Source organism: Homo sapiens, chromosome 16, assembly GCF_000001405.40.
Source record: "Homo sapiens chromosome 16, GRCh38.p14 Primary Assembly".
Lineage (NCBI taxonomy): Eukaryota > Metazoa > Chordata > Mammalia > Primates > Hominidae > Homo > Homo sapiens.
In genome coordinates, this window is record NC_000016.10 from 68,721,279 (window position 1) to 68,737,150 (window position 15,872).

Consider the following 15,872-nt stretch of genomic DNA (forward strand, 5'->3'; position numbering starts at 1 on the left):
GCTGGAGTGCAGTAGCACGATCTCGGCTCACTGCAACCTCTGCCTCCCAGTTTCCAGCAATTCTCCTGCCTCAGCCTCCCGAGTTGCTGAGATTACAGGTGTCTGCCACCAGGTCTGGCTAATTTTTGTATTTTTAGTAGAGACGGGGTTTCACCATATTGGCCAGGCTGGTCTCGAACTCCTAACCTCAGATGATCAACCCGCCTTGGCCTCCCAAAGTGCTGGGATTAAAGGCATGAGCCACCGCACCCGGCCACAGTTCAGTCTTTTAACTGCGGGTACTCAGCAGTTAGGGATTACAGGTGTGAGCCACTATGCCCAGCCCCTTCCCTGCTCTTGGGTCTAACCTCCTGCCTCTCCCTTCTTGGCTAGACTAAGCTCTTCTCCCTTCTGGGCCTTTGCCCAGGTGGTGACTTCTGCCAGAAACACTGGTTAACTCAGCTTAAATGTCACTTTGCTCCCCATCATATTTCTGAAACTCCGTCTCAAAACAAAATAATAATACATAATTGTTAAGATCATCCTTGTTGGCCAGGCGTGGTGGCTCACGCCTGTAATTCTAGCACTTTGGGAGGCTGAGGCGGGCAGATCACTTGACGTCAGGAGTTCGAGACCAGCCTGGCCAACATGGTGAAACCCTATCTCTACTAAAAATACAAAAGTTAGCTGGGTGTGTGGCGGGTGCCTGTAACTCCAGCTACTCAGGAGACTGAGGCAGGAGAATTGCTTGAACCTGGGAGGCAGAAGTTGCAGTGAGCCGAGATGGCACTACTGCACTCCAACCTGGGTGATAAGCAAGACTACCAACAACAACAACATCAACAACAACAAAAGGATTATCCTTGCTTATTGCTCTGGGTTGTAAATCCTTGGGTTGTAAATCCCTGGCTCCCTTGTCTGTTTATTCCATCAGATCAAAAGCTTCTTCAGGATAGGGAGGGGCCCCTGTCACCAGCCAAGCATTTGTGCATGCTAGGTGCCAGTGAGTGTTTATTGAATGAATGAATGAATGAATGAACGAGTGAGTGAGTGAGTTAATGTGGCCTGAAAAGTTGGACAGTTACTCTGGAGAATTATAGATGCCTCGTCCTGTATCTGGACTCTGGAATTTTCTAGGCCTCATTGGAACCCTTGTCCTTTGCCCAGGTTTTATTGCTCTGCAGGTCTCCACCCTGGCAGGAAGCTCTTGCCACCGGCTACAGTCTGGATCCAGCCTGGCCAGTTCCACCTTTCCCACCTACAACACCTGGCAAGACCAAGACACAGCCCTTCCACAAATACATGAGTACATGAGCACGTGGGGTGGACAAGCCATCCAATCAGTCCTCACTGACTCTGGTAAGGGAACAAACTTCTCCCAGTTTACCTGGGATTTTCATGGTTTTAGCACTGAAAGTCTTACACCCCCAGAGACCCAGGATCCCAGACAAATAGGGGCAGTTGGTAGCACCGGGTTTGTTGGGTCATCTTTGTGGACAGTGGAGGGAGTGGGACCTTCAACACAGATTTATTTATTTATTTATTTTTTGAGACGGGTTTCGCTCTTGTTGCTCAGGCTGGAGTGGAATGGAATGGCGTGATCTCGGCTCACTGCAATCTCTGCCTCCCAGGTTCCAGGGATTCTCCTGCCTCAGCTCCCTGAGTAGCTGGGATTACAGGCACCCACCACCAGGCCCGGCTAATTTTTGTATTTTTAGTAGAGACACGGTTTCACCACGTTGGCCCAGCTGGCTTTGAAATCCTGACCTCAGGTGATCCGCTGCCTCTATTACTTTTTTTTTTTTTTATCTTTTAGAGATAATATTTGACATATAAAGAGAATAAATGTATCACATATATAAATTATAAAGTATAATAATATAGCGAATAATTATGAACTCACCACTCAGCCCAATTCTCCTTCTCCAGAGAAGTACTTGTTAGAAGATGAGGAATTTAATGTCCTTCTCAAGCTTCCTGGCTTCCCTCTCAAGCAATTCCCAATTTTTAATAGTTATATATTATTCATAACATTTACATTTTGTTCTATAGCTATAATTAAATCTTCTGTACTTTGTCTGGAGGTTGAGTCTAAATACTGAAAAGCAATAAACAGCATCATGATTCCGTAAACACCCCTTGCTTGAGAACTCCTGGTCCCCAAAAGGAAAAAATGGGATCCTGTGCAGTGCCAGTTTTCAATCTCAAGAAGCTCAATATCATGGTTCTTAGAGGCAGAAGAGATCTCAAGCCTCCTTCTAGCTAACTGAGTCATTTTACAGAAGATAAATTGAGAGTTAGAGAAGGAAATAAATTTTGCTTCAAGTCATAAGACTCGTCAATTCCTTACACTATGTTCTGGCCTCCTCCTGGGATTTCGTAAATAAATGAGGCCAGACACGGTGGCTCACGCCTGTAATCTCAGCACTTTGGGAGGCCAAGGTGGGTGGATCACTTGAGTTTGAGACCAGCCTGGCCAACATAGCAAAACCCTGTCTCTACTGAAAATACAAAAATTAGCCGGGTGTGAGGCCGGGCGCGGTGGCTCACGCCTGTAATCCCAGCACTTTGGGAGGCCGAGGTGGGTGGATCACAAGGTCAGGAGATCGAGACCATCCCGGCTAAAACGGTGAAACCCCGTCTCTACTAAAAATACAAAAAATTAGCCGGGCATAGTGGCGGGTGCCTGTAGTCCCAGCTACTTGGGAGGCTGAGGCAGGAGAATGGCGTGAACCCGGGAGGCGGAGCTTGCAGTGAGCCGAGATCGGGCCACTGCACTCCAGCCTGGGCGACAGAGCGAGACTCCGTCTCAAAAAAAAAAAAAAAAAATTAGCCGGGTGTGGTGGCGCACACCGTAATCCCAGCTACTTGGGAGGCTGAGGCAGGAGAATCGCTTGAACCTAGGAGGTGGAGGTTGCAGTGAGCCAAGACTGCGCCACTGCACTCCAGCCTGGGCGACAGAGCAAGACTCTGTCTCAAAAAAGTAAATAAAAATAAATAAATGATGTTAGCTGCAAAGTCCCTTTTTTGAAGGGAATTTAGACTATATAGACTTTACATCAAGGATTCAAGGACCTACAGCTGGGCACATTGGCTCACACCTGTAATCCCACCAGTTTGGGAGGCCAAGGAAGGAGGATCACTTGAGACCAGGAGTTCAAGACCAGCCTGGGCAACATAGTGAGCACCTGACTGTACAGAAAATAAAAAATTAAAAACTTAGCCAGGCATGGTGGCACATACCTGTTAGTCTCAGCTACTCGGGAGGCTGACGCAGGAGAATCACTTGGGCCCAGGAGTTCAAGGTTGCAGTGAGCTATGATCCCACCACTGCATTCCAGCCTGAGCAACAGAGGCGAGACCCTATTATTTAAAAAAAAAAAAAATGGTCTCGAGACCTGTCAATTCCCCACACTACGTTGTCTGGCCACCTCCTGGGATGTGATACATGAATAAATAAATGGTGTTAGCCACAAAGTCCCTTTTTTTGAAAGGGAATTAATCTATATGGATGTCACATCAAGGATTCAACGGGCATACACTAAGAAAATGAAGTATTTTAATGACAGCAGGTAAAATCAGAGAGCCCTTTGTCTCCAAACATCTTTGGTGTGGGGCTAGGCTGAACTTGGCAGGGAGTGGTTTCATTGGCTGCCGAGCCAGCAGAGGGTTGGTTGGGGAAGGGTTTATCTCTCCGTCCCAAGTAGACAGAGTTCTGGCACCTGATTCCCTTGCTCTGAGAAGAGGGTGGGGCCTTCTTTGCTTGGAAGCGGGGGACAGGAAGCAACAGGTCCCTGGGCCTCCACAGTTATGAACTGCAGCACCTTATCTATTGTTCTTGAGATGCCAGGTCCAAAGGTATCTGAGCAGTGGGAGGACACCCAGTCAGCCACAGGGCTCCATGACAGCAGCCCCACTTTCCAGGGGGCTTAACTCACTCCACTTAAGTTGGAGGGGCCTGCTGCCCATGGACTTGGTTCAGGAAAAATCTTGTCCCCTGAGTAATGTGGAATATGGAAATAATAGTTCACGTTGATTTGCACTCCCGTCTGCCATGTTTAGTTAGGTTATTTCACCCAATTCTTTTTTTTTTTGAGACAGAGTCTCACTCTGTCGCCCAGGCTGGAGTGCAGTGGCCCGATCTCGGCTCACTGCAAGCTCTGCCTCCAGGGTTCACGCCATTCTCCTGCCTCAGTCTCCGGAGTAGCTGGGACTACAGGCGCCCGCCACCACGCCTGGCTAATTTTTTGTATTTTTAGTAGAGACGGGGTTTCACCATGTTAGCCAGGATGGTCTCGATCTCCTGACCTCCTGATCCACCCGCCTTGGCCTCCCAAAGTGCAGGGATTACAGGCGTGAGCCACCGCGCCCGGCCCTTCACCTAATTCTTGAAATCACTCAACAAAGTAGGTTCCATTATTATTCTCAGTTGTACAGATAAGGAAATTAGAAGTCCAAAGAGTCTGTGGCTCTGACTCAAAGGCTTATTACTAGCAGGTAGAAAAGTAGGATTCAGGCCAGCATGGTGGCTCACACCTGTAATCCCAGCACTTTGGGAGGCTGAGGTGGGTGGATTGCTTGAGCCCAGGAGCTGGAGACCAGCCAGGGAAACATGGTGAAATACTGTCTCTACAAAAAAATACCTAAATTAGCTGGGCATGGTGGGACATGCCTGTAGTCCCAGCTACTCAAGAGGCTGAGGTGGAAGGATCGCTTGAGCCCAGGAGGCAGACGGAGGTTGCAGTGAGCTGAGATTGCACTACTGCACTCCAGCCTGACCTTGTCTCAAAAAAAAGAAAAGAAAAAGAAAAAAGAAGGGCAGAATTCAGAAGCAGGCAGTCAGGAACTGAAGTCTATGCTGGGAACCACTGTGCCAGGATGGTCTTAAGCCAGAACACCAGCCTCCCTGCCTCTGCCATGAAACTGGTCGTTCATTTCTCTAAGCCTCAGTCACCTCTTCTGGGAAATGGGGATGATTGTGTCTGCTCTATAGGCTGGCCAGAGGACCAAATGCCCCTCTGGTTCCAGCCCTGGTCACCTGCTCCCCTGACCTGTGGCTGTCATGGGAGCTCTTGCTGGGCTGGACAACAGGGAGCTCAGGCCATCCTCTTGCCTTCCTTCTCTTGGCTGCCCCGGAGTCTGGAATTTCAGGTCCCCGCAAAAGACTATTTCTTGCTAAATTAAGCAAGGTTTGCCACTCAGTTCAAATGGCACCCAGAAACAAAACCCCACCCTGATCTTAGTGGAATAGCACAGAGATTAAGAGACTGCAGAGGGCAGTGGCCCAGGGTTCAAATTCCAGCTCTTTCATTTTTTTGGTTGTTTTTTTTTTTTTTTTTGAGACAGAGTCTCGCTCTGTCACCCAGGCTGGAGTGCAGTGGTGTGATCTTGGCTCACTGCAACCTCCGCCTCCCGGGTTCACGCCATTCTCCTGCCTCAGCCTCCTGAGTAGCTGGGACTACAGGCGCCCACCACCACGCCTGGCTAATTTTTTGGTATTTTTAGTAGAGACGGGGTATCACCAGGTTAGCCAGGATGGTCTCGATCTCCTGACCTTGTGATCTGCCTGCCTTGGCCTCCCAAAGTGCTGGGATTACAGGCATGAGCCACCGCGCCCGCCCCAGCTGTGTCATTTTTATTGTGTGTGATGGTGACTTTTAGGTGTCAACTTGACTGGATTAAGGGATACCCAGATAGCTCATAAAGCATTATTTCTGTGTATGTCTGGGAGGACGTTTCCTGAAGAGACTGCTATTTGAATCAGTGGACTGAGTGAGGAAAAGTCACCCACACCCACGTGGATGGGCACCATTCAGTCTACTGAGGGCCAGGATAGAACAAAAAGGCAGGCAGGAAAGGTGAATTCACTCACTTTCTCTCTCTCTCTTCTTCTAGAGCTGGGACACCTGCCTTCTGCCCTTAAACATCAGAACTCCAGGGTCTCTCGCCTTTTGACTCTGGGATTTGTACCAGCAGCCCCCCAGTGTTCTCAGGCCTTCAGCCTGGGACTGAAAGTCTTGGATTGGGCAATGCTACCAGCTTCCTGGTTCTCCAGCTTGTAGATGGCTTATCCTAGGACTTCTCAGCCTCCATAATCCCATGAGTCAATTTCCCTAATAAGTCCCCTCTCATCTCTCTCTGTATATATCCTATTTGTTCTGTTCTTGGGAGAACCCTGACTAATACACTGTGTAACATCAGGCCAATCCCTTTACTTCTCTGTGAGTCTCTGCTTCCAAATCTGTAAAATGGTCACGCCTGTAGACCTAGCACTTTGGGAGGCCGAGACGAGTGGATCACTTGAGGCCAGGGGTTCACAACTAGCCTAGGCAACATAATGAGTCCTCATCTCTAATAAAAAACAAACAGGGCTCGGTGCGGTGGCTCATGCCTGTAATCCCAGCACTTTCAGAAGCCAAGGTGGGTAGATCACCTGAGGTCAGGAGTTCTAGACCAGCCTGGCCAACATGGTGAAACCCCATCTGTACTAAAAATAAAAAAATTAGCCAGGCGTGGTAGTGCATGCCTGTAATCCCAGCTACTCAGGAGACTGAGACAGGAGAATCGCTTGAAATCGGAAGGCAGAGGTTGCAATGAGCCGAGATCACGCCACTGCACTCCAGCCTGGGAGAAAGAGCAAAACTCCATCTCCAAAAACAACAACAACAAAACCCCAAAATCTGTACAATGTATGTATGTATTATAGCAAACGGCTGTATGAAGACTGGTGAGACAAGGCGTACTATAGTGCACTCCAATAAATAGTAGCTATCACTTTTATCATACATTATAATGCAATTATTGGCATCCAGCACAAAGCCTGATACATAATTGGCTTTCAATAAATAATAAATAAAACGATAAGTGTTTACTTGTCTCCATCCCACAGTACCTTATGAGGTTTTTTGTTTGTTTGTTTGTTTTTTGAGACGGAGTCTTGCTCTGTCACCCAGGCTGGAGCGCAGTGGCACGATCTCGGCTCACTGCAAGCTCCGCCTCCCGGGTTCCTGCCATTCTCCTGCCTCAGCCTCCGGAGCAGCTGGGACTGCAGGCGCCCGCCACCACGCCCAGCTAATTTTTTGTATTTTTAGTAGAGAAGGGGTTTCACCGTGTTAGCCAGGATGGTCTCGATCTCCTGACCTCGTCATCTGCCCGCCTCGGCCTCCCAAAGTGCTGGGATTGACAGGCGTGAGCCACCGCGCCTGGCCTTGTATTTTCAATAGAGATGGGGTTTCACCAAGTTGGCCAGGCTGATCTCGAACTCCTGACCTCAAGTGATCTGCCTGCCTCAGCCTCCCAAAGTGATGGGATGACAGGCTTGAGCCACCACGCCCAGCCCCTTATGAGCTTCTTAAAGGCAGGGACCGTATTTTGTTTATCTCTTTGTTCCTAGTGTTAAACAGAATGCTTGGCACATGGGAGTGGTTAATGAATGTTTGTTGTTTGAGCTAATGGATGGGAACAGCCATCATCCACAGTGCTAAAACCACAAGGTGAAGGGGCTGATGGAGAATTTGATAATGGAGAGATCTGCTGACACCTACAGAAGCTTAGCATCCTGAAAGTGAATCAGCAAGAGAGCTTCTTGCTTCCTGATACAATGCTATGGGAGCGCCCGGCAACACTTATAAAATATTTTTGCCTAAAATACTGATCTGAATCAAGGCAAGCCTGTATATCTCAGTAGTAGTTCATGTTACATGTGGGATTGAGGAACGCGTTTAAGGACACCTCAAAGATGCATTCAACCAAAAACAAAATGCAGGGCTGGGCACAGTGGCTCACACCTGTAATCCCAGCACTTTGGGAGGCTGAGGCAGGCAGATCAGTTGAGGTCAGGAGTTCGAGACCAGCCTGGCCAACATGATGAAACCCCGTCTCTACTAAAAATACAAAAATTAGCTGCTCATGGTGGTGCTGGCCTGTAGTCCCAGCTACTGGGGAGGCTGACGCAGGAGAATTGCTTGAACCCGGGAGGCGGAGGTTGCAGTGAGCTGAGACTGCGCCATTGCATTCCAGCCTGGGCGAAAAAGTGAGACTCCGTCTCAGAAAAATATATATATGCCGGACATCCTACAGAACAAATGACCCTGTGTGTTTTTTGTTTTGTTTCGTTTTGTTTTTTAAAGAAGTCTGTAAGTCTGGAATTACATCAAAATAGAAACAAACAAAGGATACATTCACTATCATAGTTGTGGTTTCACAGTGTATACAAATACCAAAACTCATCAAATTGTATACTTTAAACATATGTAGTCAATTATACCTCAAAAAAGATGAACAAAAAGGGATGGAGAAGCTTATAGGTAAAAAGAGTCTTAAGGGGCATAACAGACAAAAGTAAAATGTGGCTCTTGCTTGGATCTTGATTCAAACACATTTTTTTATTTGTCTGAGACAGAGTCTCCTCTCTTGCCCGGCTGGAGTGCAGTGGCGTGATCTCGGCTCACTGCAACCTCGACCTCCTGGGCTCAAGTGACTCTCTTACCTCAGCCTCCCTAGTAGCTGGGACCACAGGTGTGCGCCACCACACCAGGCTATTTTTTTTTTAATTTTTTGTACAGATGGGGTCTCCCTATGCTGCTCAGGCTGGTCTGAACTCCTGAGCTCAAGCAGTCCTCCTGCCTCGACCTCCTAAAGTGCTGGGACTACAGGTGTGAGCCATCACGCCCAACCCAAACTATTAATAATTGTTTGCCAGGTGCAGTAGCTCATGCCTGTAATCCCATCACTTTGGGAGGCCGAGGCGGGTGGATCATGAGGTCAGGAGTTCGAGACCAGCCTGACCAAGATGGTGAAACCCTGTCTCTACTAAAAATACAAAAATTAGCTGGGCTTGGTGGTATGCGCCTGTAATCCCAGCTACTCAGGAGGCTGAGGCAGGAGGAACGCTTGCACCTGGGAGGCGGAGGTTGCAGTGAGCTGAGATTGCACCACTGCACTCCAGCCTGGGCAACAGAGAGAGACTCCACCTAAAAAAAAAAAAAAGCCGGGCACGGTGGCTCATGCCTGTAATCCCAGCACTTTGGGAGGCTGAGGCGGGCGGATCACTTGAGGTCGGGAGTTGGAGACCTGCCTGACCAACATGCAGAAACCCCGTCTCTACTAAAACCACAAAATTAGCTGGGTTTGGTGGTACATGCCTGTAATCCTAGCTACTCAGGAGGCTGAGGCAGGAGAATTGCTTGAACCCAGGAGACGGAAGTTGCGTTGAGCCGAGATCACGTCATTGCACCCAGCCTGGGCAACAAGAGTGAAACTCTGTCTCAAAAACAAAAACAAACAAACAAAAAAAATTGTTTAAAAGACATTTTTTAAAATGTGGCTTAGCCATTCAATGATATTGAGGAACTACTGTGAATTTTATTAGGTGCTTTACTAATGGCATGGGATCATGTTTAAAAGATGTCTTTCTCAGATATGCAGACTGAGATATTTACAGGAGAAATGTTATCTGGGATTTGCTTTAAAATATTATTTGGGCCGGGTGTGGTGGCTCACACCTGTAATCCCAGCACTTTGGGAGGCCAAGGTGGGCGGATCACCTGAGGTCGGGAGTTCGAGACCAACCTGACCAACATGGAGAAACCCCGTCTCTACTAAAAATACAAAATTAGCCAGGTGTGGTGGTGCATGCCTGTAGTCCCAGCTACTGAGGAGGCTGAGGCAGGAGAATGGCTTGAATCCAAGAGGCCGAGGTTGTGGTGAGCCAAGATTTTACCATTGCACTCCAGCCTGGACAACAAGAGGGAAACTCCGTCTCAAAAAAAAAAAAAAAAAAAAAAAAAAAATATATATATATATATATATATATATATATAATTATAAAAATATATATAATTATAAAATACATATATAATTATAAAAAATAATTATATATATATATTAGGGCTGGAGTTCAAGACCAGGATGACCAACATGGTGAAACCCTGTCTCTACTAAAAATAGAATAATTAGCCAGGTGTGGTGGCGCATGCCTGTAATCCCAGCTACTTGGGAGGCTGAGGCAGGAGAATGGTTTGAACTCAGGAGGCAGAGGTTGCAGTGAGCCGAGATCACGCCATTGCACTCCAGCACTCCAGCCTGGGCAACAAGAGTGAAACTCCGTCTCAAAAAAAAAAAAAAAAAAAAAAAAAAAATATATATATATATATATACATATACACATATATACACATATATATACACACACACGTATATACACATATATATATACACACACACGTATATACACATATATATATACACACACACATATACACACACACACACACACACACACATATATATATATACAATTTGGGCGTGATGGCTCATGTTTGTAATCCCAGCACTTTGGGAGGCCAAGGCAGGTGGATTGTTTGAGCTCAGGAGTTTGAGACCAGCCTGGGCAACAAGATGAAACCCCGTCTCTACAAAAAATACAAAAATTAACCTGGTGTGGTGGCTCATGCCTGCCTTCTCAGCTACTTGGGAGGCTGAGGTGGGAGGATTGGCTTGAGCCCAGGAGGTAATGGCTGCAGTGAGCCGAGATTGGGCCACTGTACTCCAGCCGGGGTGACAGAGTTAGATCCTGTCTCAAAAACAAACAAACAAAAAATTCTGCAAAGACAAAAATAAAAATGCAAAGGTAGAAAGATGAAAGAAGATTTGGTACAATTACAAAGTTTACAAAAACTTTAAAAATTGCAAAAAACTACTGTTGGGGCTGGGTGATGAATACCTGTGGTTTCATTATACTATATGTAGTGTGTGTTACACTATTTTCTTTACTTTGTGTTTGAAATAAAACTGTTTTTTTTTTTTTGCAGACTGGAAGGGCGGCACCCCTATCAGTTAGCACCGTTTCAACTGGAGGCGGTATAGCCAGTTCCCGCCCCTCCATGCTGGCAGGCAGCCCAGCCCAGCAGAGGTTTCAGGAGCCTCTAGGAGCAGCAGGAAGGGAGCCTCCTCTACCCTACCTAGCCAGGAGCCTGATCAGGCTGTAATCCCTAGCAATTCCAGTTTCTCTGGGGATTCCTCCCCAGTGGGCTGGCGGTTGGACTCTTCTCAGCAGAGGTCTGGAGAGGGGCACCTCCCACCCCAATCTGAACCCTATGACTGCACCCCTTGCCAGGAGATGAAAGGGACAAGACTGCCTGAAGGATTAATCTTTAGCCTCCAGGCAGGCCAGTGGCCAAAACACCCAGGAAGTGAAAGTCTGTCCTCTGCCATAAGGAAACCTGGAGTCTGTGATCCCATCATGCGGGGTCTGTTATCTGCCAGGTGACAGGGTCTCTTATCTATCTGCGGTGATCTGAAGGGCAAGGCCTCTGGCCAAACATTTCTTTTCCCCAGTGATGCCTGAAATTCCACTGTTAGCGCTGGATCTCAGCAAGATCTCAGAGAAAGCTCAACTCCTGGAGTTTGGGTTTTCCCCAGTTGAGATGTTAGGAAAGCAATGGGCCTTATCACCTGCACGGACAGGTTTGTGTACAGTCTCAGGGGATTCAGGGACCCCACCAGAGCCCATCCACAGACACCAGGTTAAAAGCCCTGGACAGCATTTACAACTCCTTTGAAAGAAGAAAAGTCTTTCTCTAGAGCCCTCTTTAAAGTGCAAATGGCCCTGGGAGGTTCGAAATGATGAGCTGGCCGGCATGAAAGAATTTTCTCCAGTAGATGCAAGAGATAACCTGAGGAGCTTTAGTGGCGGGGGTGGGGGAAGGAGAGCCTGGGGGAGGGGAGGCTCCAGGCAGCTCACAATTTTTCCTAGAACTGGAAAGGGAATGTATTGGGCCAAGAGGGCTAATCACTCACCTTTGCAGAGTGTTTACAAGAACCTTATGAATTAAGTGCTATCAACATTCCCATTTTACAGATGAGGAAACCAAGATGGTGGAGATAAAATGACTTATGCTTCTCAACTAATGGCAGAGCCAGAAGTGAATCCAGGCTGGAGTGAAGTGGCTCCAGTGCTCAAATGATCCTCCTACCTCAGCCTCCAGAGTAGCTGGGACTACAGGCATGCACTGCCATGTCCAGCTAATTCAAAATAATATTTGTTGGGGAGATGGGGTTTCACCATGTTGCCCAGACTGGTCTCAAACTCCTGGGCTCAAGTAATCTTCTCACCTCCCAACTAGCCTCCCAAAGTGCTGCGATTACAGTTGTGAGCCACCAGGCCTGCTTAGGTATCCCTGTTTGATACAAGAGAAAACAGAGGGCAGGCACAGTGGCTCACACCTGTAATCCCAGCACTTTGGGAGGCTGAGGTAGGTGGATCACTTGAGGTCAGGAGTTTGAGACCAGCCTGGCCAACATGGCGAAATCCCGTCTCTACTAAAATACAAAAATTAGCCAGACATGGTGACGTGTGTCTGTAATCACAGCTACTCAGGAGGCTGAGGCACAAGAATCTCTTGAACCTGGGAGGCAGAGAGTGCAGTGAGCCGAGATCGCGCCATTGCACTCCAGCCGGGGCAACAGAGCAAGACCTTGTCACTAAATAAATAAATAGGAAACAGAGAAGCAATTCAGTGTGTTGCGAAAGTCACACAGCACCTGTCTTCCACAAGGAGCCCCTCTGTGTTCCCGCCTCACCCTGGACACCTGATCTACTGTCTTTGGAGCTTGGAGAAGGACTTGCCGAGAAGTCTGAAGAATGCATCAGGCCTGACCTGACTTTGCTGCCCCTAATTGTTTTCTAAAATCCTTTTTATTGAATTATCAGAGTGTAATGGAAGAGTCGATGAGAGTCGCTGCAGAGTTACGAGGCCAAGGCTTGCTGGGTAGAAGAAAGTAAAGCCCTAAAGGCTCCCAGGGCCCAGCGATGGTATAAAATATGTATTTTTACATAACTGAGAGGAAAAAAATAAGCAGACAGTACAGCCCCATGGGGGAAACGCCTCTTTCTGTATTTCCATTATCTTGTTCAAGGCACGATCCTAGTGGGAAAGGAAATACCGGAGCCTTCTCCCTCTGAGCCTCCTGGTGGGTTAAGAGCAGAGGGAGCCAAAATACGACATCCAAAAGACCTGATTGGAAACTCATTAAAATTGAGGGGACAGGTTGTTGGGGGGGGCGGTGCTGGGCTGCCCAGAAATCGTCTGCATTTGAGAAATTACTTGATGGACTCAGAGGCACCTTTAGCTCTGGGTGAAATATTCCAAACATGGCTTTCCCCAGGAGGAAGCGAAATAGGGGCTGGGCCTTTTGAAAGAGTAACCCCTACTCCAAATATTTATTGAGCAGTTGCTATGATGAGCCAAGAACTCTGCTTAGCGATTGTTTTTGTATTAGCTCATGCCAATTCACTTATACAAAGGAGAACACTGACTTCCCCAAGGTCACAGGGCTAGTGAGTGGCTGACTCCACTTAATGCTGTGTAGTTCTAACCATGCTTGAAGGATAAAGGGAAAGGAGGTGCCCTTGTCGGGGTAGACAAGCCACCCAGACGTGGCTGGCCACAGGGAGTCAGACAGGGAAGTTGTCTAACCTAACATTTGCCTGTCTATTCTGTTTTTGTCTTTTGATGGAGGACGGCGGGTGCTGGAGGGCCACTGGCCCAGGACCTGAGACCTTTGGCCCCTATCTATTCTATTTTTGATCCTAAAATTATTTCACTGGGGACAGAATTCTCTGGAGAAGGTGATGGTGGCCATGGTGTGGCTGTGGCATTAAAAGCCCCACTCTGGGGGTCAGAAGATCCTGGGTTTTGGTCTTTGGCTTTGACATTGACCTGCCTATGTGACATTGAACAAGTTATTTGCAAATCATAGGTTTGGGTGAACTCTAAAGGTCTCTTCCAGGTCAACATCAAAAAACAGACTGAAAACTGCAGCTCCAGCTGGAAGACTGGGACCACATGAGATGAAGCTGATTGTTAGAAGAAAGGCCCTGGAATCAGAGAGGTTGGTTCCAGTCCTGCGCCACCTCTCATTGGCCTCAATCTCTCTAAGCTTCAGTTGCCCATCTATCATATGGGAATAATAATACAGCTCTTGGGTTGTTTTGAAATGAGCTTAAATGAGCTGGTCAGTGGCTGGGCACGGTGGCTCATGCCTGTAATCCCAGCACTTTGGGAGGCTGAGGCAGGTGGATCATCTGAGGACAGGAGTTCAAGACCAGCCTGGCCAACATGATGAAACCCTGTCTCTACTAAAAATACAAAAATTAGCCAGTCGTGGTGGCGCATGCCTGTAATCCCAGCTACTCAGGAGGCTGATAGAGGAGAACCGCTTGAACCCAAGAGGCGAAGGTTGCAGTGAGCCAAGAACACACCATTGCACTCCAGCCTGGGCGACAGAGCAGGACTCCGTCTCAAAAAAAAAAGAGCTGGTCAGTGTCAAATGCTTAGCACAGAGACTGGCACAGTAATCTTCAATGTCCAGCACCTATTGTTACTATTTTTTTTTTTTTTTTTTTTTTGAGACAGAGTCTTGCTCTGTCGCCCAGGCTGGAGTACAGTGGCGCGATCTCGGCTCACTGCAAGCTCCACCTCCCAGGTTCATGCCATTCTCCTGCCTCAGCCTCCCGAGTAGCTGGGACTACAGGCGCCCACCACCACGCCTGGCTAATTTTTTGTATTTTTAGTAGAGACGGGGTTTCACTGCGTTAGCCAGGATGGTCTCAATCTCCTGACCTCGTGATCTGCCCGCCTCGGCCTCCCAAAGTGCTGGGATTACAGGCGTGAGCCACCATGCCTGGCCCTATTGTTACTATTTTTACCCCTCACTTCTGTACAGAGCATTTATGGCTCAAGAAACATTTGTCATTTTAATTGTATGGGAGTCCCACAACAGCATAGGGAGACATTTCTGATCATTATTCCCATTAGGAGGGTGGAGAAACTGAGGCTTTGGGAGGTGGTCCTGACCTAGGGAATCAATTTGCTGACTCACTAACCCATGAAGCTCTACAGTTAAAAAAGACTAGATTAAAAAATGAGAACTCAGTAAAGGGGCTGAGGCAGGAGGATCGCCTGAGTTCAGAAATTTGAGATCAGCCTCGGCAACATAGTGAGATCCCCTCTCTAGAAAAATTTTTTAAAAAATTAGGCCGCTCGAGGCAGAGTGCAGTGGCTCACGCCTGTAATCCAACACTTCAGGAGGCTGAAGAGGGTGGATCACCTGAGGTCAGGAGTTCCAGACCAGCCTGGCCAACATGGTGAAACCCCGTCTGTACTAAAAATACAAAATTAGCCGGTGTGGTGGCACACGCCTGTAGTCCCAGCTACTCAATAGGCTGAGACAGGAGAGTCTCTTGAACCCGGCAGGCGGAGGTTGCAGTGAGCCGAGATCGTGCCACTGCACTCCAGCCTGGGCAAGACAGAGCGAGACTCCGTCTCAAAAAATACAAACAAAACAAACAAACAAAAAATTAGGCTGCTAGCTCAGTGGCTCATGGCTCACACCTGAAATCCTAGCACTTTGGGAGGCCAAGGCAGGAGGATCGCTTCAGCCCAGGAGTTCGAGACCAGGCTGGGCAATACAGGGAGACACAGCGCCCCCACTGCCCCTGTCCGCCCCGACTTGTCTCTCTACAAAAAGGCAAAAGAAAAAAAAATTAGCCTGGCGTGGTGGTGTGCACCTGTACTCCCAGCTACTAGAGAGGCTGGGGCCAGAGGACCGCTTGAGCCCAGGAGTTCGAGGCTGCAGTGAGCTGTGATCGCACCACTGCACTCCAGCTTGGGTGAAAGAGTGAGACCCCATCTCCAAAACGAACAAACAAAAAATCCCAAAAAACAAAAGAACTCAGCCAAGTGTAAAAGCCCTTTCTGATCCCAGGTCTTAGTGAGCCACCGGCGGGGCTGGGATTCGAACCCAGTGGAATCAGAACCGTGCAGGTCCCATAACCCACCTAGACCCTAGCAACTCCAGGCTAGAGGGTCACCGCGTCTATGCGAGGCCGG

At 48.1% G+C, this 15,872-nt stretch overlaps 1 protein-coding gene across 2 annotated transcripts in view, besides 8 other annotated features; it reads left to right on the plus strand.

The window, feature by feature from the left end:
* CDH3 (cadherin 3) overlaps positions 1–12,493 on the plus strand; it is an 88,462-nt gene extending 75,969 nt beyond the window's left edge. The window contains exons 16-17 of one of the 2 annotated variants that reach the window (XM_047433450.1): positions 1,147–1,338; positions 10,791–12,493. In XM_047433450.1, the coding sequence (XP_047289406.1) occupies positions 1,147–1,293 (147 nt within the window). In that variant the 3' untranslated portion in view covers positions 1,294–1,338; positions 10,791–12,493. Of the gene's footprint in view, positions 1–1,146; positions 1,339–5,874; positions 6,841–10,790 lie in introns of those variants that run through there. The other variant, XM_011522800.4, reaches the window with a different exon arrangement.
* Positions 2,319–2,463: an enhancer, noted in NCBI's record as "145 bp 16:68757572 sequence used in MPRA reporter constructs". NCBI's record gives its function as "activates a minimal TATA-containing promoter with rs7184242 allelic activity by MPRAs in C283T melanocytes {active_cell/tissue: C283T}" and the evidence as "EXISTENCE:reporter gene assay evidence [ECO:0000049][PMID:36423637]".
* Position 2,391: a transcriptional cis regulatory region, noted in NCBI's record as "rs7184242 or 16:68757572 MPRA-significant variant associated with a GWAS melanoma risk locus at 16q22.1". NCBI's record gives its function as "allelic transcriptional activity by MPRAs in C283T melanocytes {active_cell/tissue: C283T}" and the evidence as "EXISTENCE:reporter gene assay evidence [ECO:0000049][PMID:36423637]".
* Positions 7,096–7,615: an enhancer, noted in NCBI's record as "H3K4me1 hESC enhancer chr16:68762277-68762796 (GRCh37/hg19 assembly coordinates)". NCBI's record gives its function as "activates a minimal SCP1, AML or CMV promoter by ChIP-STARR-seq in naive H9 embryonic stem cells {active_cell/tissue: H9 hESC(naive)}" and the evidence as "EXISTENCE:reporter gene assay evidence [ECO:0000049][PMID:30033119]".
* Positions 7,267–7,411: an enhancer, noted in NCBI's record as "145 bp 16:68762520 sequence used in MPRA reporter constructs". NCBI's record gives its function as "activates a minimal TATA-containing promoter with rs12930910 allelic activity by MPRAs in C283T melanocytes {active_cell/tissue: C283T}" and the evidence as "EXISTENCE:reporter gene assay evidence [ECO:0000049][PMID:36423637]".
* Position 7,339: a transcriptional cis regulatory region, noted in NCBI's record as "rs12930910 or 16:68762520 MPRA-significant variant associated with a GWAS melanoma risk locus at 16q22.1". NCBI's record gives its function as "allelic transcriptional activity by MPRAs in C283T melanocytes {active_cell/tissue: C283T}" and the evidence as "EXISTENCE:reporter gene assay evidence [ECO:0000049][PMID:36423637]".
* Positions 11,312–11,987: an enhancer, noted in NCBI's record as "NANOG-H3K27ac-H3K4me1 hESC enhancer chr16:68766493-68767168 (GRCh37/hg19 assembly coordinates)". NCBI's record gives its function as "activates a minimal SCP1, AML or CMV promoter by ChIP-STARR-seq in primed H9 embryonic stem cells {active_cell/tissue: H9 hESC(primed)}" and the evidence as "EXISTENCE:reporter gene assay evidence [ECO:0000049][PMID:30033119]".
* Positions 15,035–15,179: an enhancer, noted in NCBI's record as "145 bp 16:68770288 sequence used in MPRA reporter constructs". NCBI's record gives its function as "activates a minimal TATA-containing promoter with rs7194355 allelic activity by MPRAs in C283T melanocytes and UACC903 melanoma cells {active_cell/tissue: C283T | UACC903}" and the evidence as "EXISTENCE:reporter gene assay evidence [ECO:0000049][PMID:36423637]".
* Position 15,107: a transcriptional cis regulatory region, noted in NCBI's record as "rs7194355 or 16:68770288 MPRA-significant variant associated with a GWAS melanoma risk locus at 16q22.1". NCBI's record gives its function as "allelic transcriptional activity by MPRAs in C283T melanocytes and UACC903 melanoma cells {active_cell/tissue: C283T | UACC903}" and the evidence as "EXISTENCE:reporter gene assay evidence [ECO:0000049][PMID:36423637]".